This window comes from Homo sapiens, chromosome 4, assembly GCF_000001405.40.
Source record: "Homo sapiens chromosome 4, GRCh38.p14 Primary Assembly".
NCBI classification, from domain to species: domain Eukaryota; kingdom Metazoa; phylum Chordata; class Mammalia; order Primates; family Hominidae; genus Homo; species Homo sapiens.
In genome coordinates this window covers 179,165,615-179,171,885 of record NC_000004.12, presented here as the reverse complement: position 1 = coordinate 179,171,885, position 6,271 = coordinate 179,165,615, and the positions used below count along the sequence as shown (strand labels likewise).

At 46.0% G+C, this 6,271-nt stretch overlaps 3 annotated features.

Annotated features, from left to right (window-relative positions):
* Nucleotides 1,065–1,775: an enhancer, noted in NCBI's record as "OCT4-NANOG-H3K27ac-H3K4me1 hESC enhancer chr4:180091265-180091975 (GRCh37/hg19 assembly coordinates)". NCBI's record gives its function as "activates a minimal SCP1, AML or CMV promoter by ChIP-STARR-seq in naive and primed H9 embryonic stem cells {active_cell/tissue: H9 hESC(naive and primed)}" and the evidence as "EXISTENCE:reporter gene assay evidence [ECO:0000049][PMID:30033119]".
* Nucleotides 4,620–5,330: an enhancer, noted in NCBI's record as "OCT4-NANOG-H3K27ac hESC enhancer chr4:180087710-180088420 (GRCh37/hg19 assembly coordinates)". NCBI's record gives its function as "activates a minimal SCP1, AML or CMV promoter by ChIP-STARR-seq in naive and primed H9 embryonic stem cells {active_cell/tissue: H9 hESC(naive and primed)}" and the evidence as "EXISTENCE:reporter gene assay evidence [ECO:0000049][PMID:30033119]".
* Nucleotides 5,331–6,042: an enhancer, noted in NCBI's record as "NANOG-H3K27ac hESC enhancer chr4:180086998-180087709 (GRCh37/hg19 assembly coordinates)". NCBI's record gives its function as "activates a minimal SCP1, AML or CMV promoter by ChIP-STARR-seq in naive and primed H9 embryonic stem cells {active_cell/tissue: H9 hESC(naive and primed)}" and the evidence as "EXISTENCE:reporter gene assay evidence [ECO:0000049][PMID:30033119]".

Genomic DNA, 6,271 nt, shown 5'->3' with positions numbered 1-6,271 from the left:
GAACGTGGTGGTGGGCACTTGTAATCCCACCTACTCAGGAGGCTGAGGCAGGAGAATTCCTTGAACCCATGAGGCAAAGTTTGCAGAGAGCCGAGATCATGCCATTGCACTCCAGACAGGGTGACAGAGAGAGACCCAGTCTCACAAAACAAACAAACAAACAGAAACAGAAAATAACAAGTGGTGGCAAAGATGTGGAAAAATTGGAACCCTTATACTCTGTTGTTGATGTCAGAGGTGTGTGAACCAGAGCAACTCTATCTTGAATAAGACTGTGATCTACTGGGCTGCATTCCCAGAGGGTTAAGGCATCTAAGTCACAGGATGAGATAGGAGGTTGGCACAAGATACAGGTCATAAAGATCTTGCTGATAAAACAGGTTGCAGCAAAGAAGCTGGCTAAAACCCACCAAAATCAAGATGGTGACAAGAGTGATCTCTGGTCATCCACACAGTTTACAAACGCCATTGAAATGATAGGAAGTTGCTTTATGGTCTAAAAAGAGAAGGCATGAATAATCCAACCCTTGTTTAGCATATCATCAAGAAATAACCATAAAAATGGCAACCAGCAGCCCCCGGGGCTGCTCTGTCTATGGAAGAGCCATTCTTTTATTCTTTTTTTTCTTTTTTCTTTTTTTATTGTTTGTTTGTTTTTGTGGTTTTGTTTTGAGACAGAGCCTTGCCCTGTTGCCCAGGCTGGAGTGCAGTGGCGCGATCTTGGCTCACTGCAAGCCCCGCCTCCTGGGTTCACACTATTCTCTTGCCTCAGCCTCCCGAGCAGCTGGGACTACAGGCGCCCGCCACCACGCACGGCTAATTTTTTGTATTTTTAGTAGAGATGGCGTTTCACCCTGTTAGCCAGGATGGTCTCGATCTCCTGACCTCATGAACCACCCTCCTTGGCCTCTCAAAGTGCTAGGATTACAGGCATGAGCCACAGCGCCCGGCCTTCCTTTACTAAACTTGCTTTCACTTTATGGACTCACCCTGAATTCTTTCTTAAGCCAGGTCCAAGAACCTTCACTTGGTGTCTGGATCAGGACCTCTTTCCTGTAGCAGAGAGAATGTCAAGTGGTTATGCCACTGTGGAAAACAGTATGGCAGTTCCTCAAAAAGTAAGCATTTAAAAATTTCGTTACCATATGTTCCAGCAATACTGCTTCTCGGTATATATCTAAAATAATTGAACAGAAGGTATTTAAGATATATTCGTACAACCATGTTTGATAGAAGCATTATTCACCATAGCTAAAATGTAGGAGCAAGCCAAATATCAGTTGGTAAATGAATGGATAAACAAAATATGGTGCATACTGTCAGGCCTCTGAGCCCAAGCCAAGCCATCGCATCCCCTGTGACTTGCATGTATACGCCCAGATGGCCCAAAGTAACTGAAGAATCACAAAAGAAGTGAATATGCCCTGCCCCACCTTAACTGATGATATTCCACCACAAAAGAAGTGTAAATGGCCGGTCCTTGCCTTAAGTGATGACATTACCTTGTGAAAGTCCTTTTCCTGGCTCATCCTGGCTCAAAAAGCTCCCCCACTGAGTACCTTGCGACCCCCACTCCTGCCCGCCAAAGAACAAACCCCCTTTGACTGTAATTTTCCTTTACCTACCCAAATCCTATAAAACGGCCCCACCCCTATCTCCCTTTGCTGACTCTCTTTGGACTCAGCCCGCCTGCACCCAGGTGAAATAAACAGCCTTGTTGCTCACACAAAGCCTGTTTGGTGGTCTCTTCACAGGGACGCGCATGAAATTTGGTGTCGTGACTCAGATCGGGGGACCTCCCTTAGGAGATCAATCCCCTGTCCTCCTGCTCTTTGCTCTGTGAGAAAGATCCACCTACGACCTCAGGTCCTCAGACCGACCAGCCCAAGAAACATCTCACCAATTTCAAATCCGGTAAGCGGCCTCTTTTTACTCTCTTCTCCAGCTTCCCTCACTATCCTTCAACCTCTTTCTCCTTTCAATCTTGGCGCCACACTTCAATCACTCCCTTCTCTTAATTTCAATTCCTTTCATTTTCTGGTAGAGACAAAGGAGACACGTTTTATCCGTGGACCCAAAACTCCGGCGGCGGTCACGGACTGGGAAGGCAGCCTTCCCTTGGTATTTAATCCTTGCAGGGACACCTCTCTGATTATTCACACACATTTCAAAGGTGTCAGACCAAGCAGGGACACCTGCCTTGGTCCTTCACCCTTAGTGGCAAGTCCCGCTTTTCTGAGGAAGGGGCAAGTACCCCAACCCCTTCTCTCCTTGTCTCTACCCCTTCTCTGCTTTTCTGGGGGAGGGGCAAGTACCCCTCAACCCCTTCTCCTTCACCCTTAGCGGCAAGTCCCGCTTTTCTAGGGGGCAAGAACACCCAATCCCTTATTTCTGTGCCCCACCCTCTTATCTCTGTGCCCCAATTCCTTATTTCCATGCCCCAACCCTTTCTCTGCTTTTCTGGAGGGCAAGAACCCCCCACCCCTTCTCCGTGTCTCTGCTCTTTTCTCTGGGCTTGCCTCCTTTACTATGGGCAAGCTTCCACCTTCCATTCCTCCTTCTTCTCCCTTAGCCTATATTCTTAAGAACTTAAAACCTCTTCAACTCTCATCTGACCTAAAATCTAAGCATCTTATTTTCTTCTGCAATGCCGCTTGACCCCAATACAAACTCGACAGTAGTTCCAAATAGCCGGAAAATGGCACTTTCAATTTTTCCATCCTACAAGATCTAAATAATTCTTGTCCTAAAATTGACAAATGGTCTGAGGTGCCTGATGTCCAGGCATTCTTTTACACATCAGTCCCTTCCTAGTCTCTGTGCCCAGTGCAACTCGTCCCAAATCTTCCTTCTTTCCCTCCCACCTGTCCCCTCAGTCCCAACCCCAAGCGTAGCTGAGTCTTTCTAATCTTCCTTTTCTACAGACCCATCTGACCTCTCCCCTCCTTGCCAGGCCAAGCTAGGTCCCAATTCTTCCTCAGCCTCTGCTCCTCCACCCTGTAATCTTTTTATCGCCTCCCCTCCTCACACCTGGTCCGGCTTACAGTTTCATTCTCTGACTAGCCCTCCCCCACCTGCCCACAATTTACTCTTAAAAAGGTGGCTGGAGCCAAAGGCATAGTCAAGGTTAATGCTCCTTTTTCTTTATCCCAAATCAGAAGCATTTAGGCTCTTTTTTATCAAATATAAAAACCCAGCCCAGTTCATGGCTCGTTCGGCAGCAACCCTGAGATGCTTTACAGCCCTAGACGGTAAAATGTCAAAAGGCCGTCTTATTCTCAATATACATTTTATTACCCAATCTGCCCCGGACATTAAATAAAACTCCAAAAATTAGAATCTGGCCTTCAAACCCCACAACAGGACTTAATTAACCTCTCCTTCAAGGTGTACAATAATAAAAAAAAAAGTTGCAATTCCTCGCCTCCACTGTGAGACAAACCCTAGCCACATCTCTAGCATACAAGAACTTCCAAACGCCTGAACCGCAGAGGCCAGGTGTTCCTTCAGAACCTCCTCCCCCAGGAGCTTGCTACAAGTGCCAGAAATCTGACCACCAGGCCAAGGAATGCCTGCAGCCCAGGATTCCTCCTAAGCCGTGTCCCATCTGTGCGGGACCCCACTGGAAATCGGACTGTTCAGCTCACCTGACAGCCACTGCCAGAGCCCCTGGAACTCTGGCCCGAGGCTCTCTGACTGACTCCTTCCCAGATCTTCTTGGCTTAGTGGCTGAAGACTGATGCTGCCTGATCGCCTCGGAAGCCCCCTAGACCATCACGGACGCCAAGCTTCAGGTAACTCTCACAGTGGAAGGTAAGCCCATCCCCTTCTTAATCAATACGGAGGCTACCCACTCCACATTACCTTCTTTTCAAGGGCCCGTTTCCCTTGCCTCCATAACTGTTGTGGGTATTGACGGCCAGGCTTCTAAACCTCTTAAAACTCCCCAACTCTGGTGCCAACTTAGACAGTACTCTTTTAAGCACTCCTTTTAGTTATCCCCAGCTGCCCAGTTCCCTTATTAGGCTGAGACACTTTAAATCATCTGCTTCCCTGACTATTCCTGGACTACAGCTATATCTCATTGCCACCCTTCTTCCCAATCCAAAGCCTCCTTTGCATCCTCCTCTTGTATCCCCCCACCTTAACCCACAAGTATAAGATACCTCTACTCCCTCCTTGGCGACCGATCATGCACCCCTTACCATCTCATTAAAACCTAATCACCCTTACCCCACTCAACGCCAATATCCCATCCAGCAGCACGCTTTAAAAAGATTAAAGCCTGTTATCACTCGCCTGCTACAAAATTGCCTTTTAAAGCCTATAAACTCTCCTTACAATTCCCCCATTTCACCTGTCTTAAAACCAGACAAGCCTTACAAGTTAGTTCAGGATCTGCGCCTTATCAACCAAATTGTTTTGCCTATCCACCCTGTGGTGCCCAACCCGTACACTCTTTTGTCCTCAATACCCTCCTCCACAACTCACTATTCCGTGCTTGATCTTAAAGATGCCTTTTTCCACTATTCCCCTGCACCCCTCGTCCCAGCCTCTCTTTGATCTTTGCTGGCAGGACTATGCCGAATCTCCTTAAGCACTCTCTAATCAGATATCCTAAGTGGTCCCAATTCTTAGACCTTTTATACCTGTTTTTCTCCTTCTGTTATTCCATTTAGTTTTTCAATTCATACAAAACCGTATCCAGGCCATCACCAATCATTCTATACAACAAATGTTTCTTCTAACATCCCCACAATATCACCCCTTACCGCAAGACCTCCCTTCAGCTTAATCTCTCCCACTCTAGGGTCCCACGCCGCCCCTAATCCCGCTTGAAGCAGCCCTGAGAAACATCGACCATTCTCTCTCTCGATACCACCCCCCAAAAATTTTCGCCGCCCCAACACTTCAACACTATTTTGTTTTGTTTTTCTTATTAATATAAGAAGGCAGGAATGTCAGGCCTCTGAGCCCAAGCCAAGCCATCGCATCCCCTGTGACTTGCACATATATGCCCAGATGGCCTGAAGTAACTGAAGAATCACAAAAGAAGTGAATATGCCCTGCCCCACCTTAACTGATGACATTCCACCACAAAAGAAGTGTAAATGGCCGGTCCTTGCCTTAAGTGATGACATTACCTTGTGAAAGTCCTTTTCCTGGCTCATCCTGGCTCAAAAATCACCCCCACTGAGCACCTTGCAACCTCCACTCCTGCCCTCCAGAGAACAAACCCCCTTTGACTGTAATTTTCCTTTACCTACCCAAATCCTATAAAACGGCCCCACCCTTATCTCCCTTTGCTGACTCTGTTTTCGGACTCAGCCTACCTGCACCCAGGTGAAATAAACAGCCATGTTGCTCACACAAAGCCTGTTTGGTGGTCTCTTTACACGGACGCGCATGAAACATACAAACAACAGAATATTTTTCAGCCTTAAAGCTGTTGACAAAAAGAGTGAAACTTGGTAAAATATTTTAAGAGATTTATTCTGAGTCAAATATGAAGGACCATGGCCCATGACACAGCCCTTAGTAGGTCCTGAGAACATGTGTCCAAGGTGGTTGGGGTGCAATTTGGCTTTATATATTTTAGGGAGGCATGAGATGTCAATCAAATAGATTTAAGAAATACATTGATTTGGTTCAGAAAGGTGGGACAATTCAAAGCTACAGGGGGGCAGGGGTGGGGGTTCCAGGCTATAGGTAAATTTAAACATTTTCTGGTTGACGATTGGTTGAGTTTGTCTAAAGACATGGGATCCATAGGGATAGAAAGGAATGTTCAGGTTAAAGATAAAGGATTGTGGAGACCAAGTTTTATCGTGCAGAGGAAGCTCTCAGCTGACTTCAGAGAGAGCAGTTTTTAAATTGTTTCTTACTCAGACTTAAAAGGGTGCCTGGCTCTTACTTGATTATCTCCTGGATTTGGAAAGAAAGGAAGGAAAACAAAAGGGGAAGCGGATTTTCTATAGAATGTGAATTTTTCCCACAAGAGACTTTGCAGAGCAATTTCAAAGTATGGCAAGGAAATATATTTTGGGGTAAAATATTTTTCCCTTGTCTCATAATGTTATGCCAGTGTCAGACTGAAAAGTAAGTCACAATATATAGGGTCAAATAAAACCCATCTGATGAGAATTTATGGTTTGTAGGGCATGACTCCCTAAACCCCTTAGGCAGGAATTTGGTAAGATAAAAAAATCTGAGCTTAGTCCTCAAGCAGTAGGAAGTTTTGATATAAGCTATAAGAAGGATAAACCTTGAA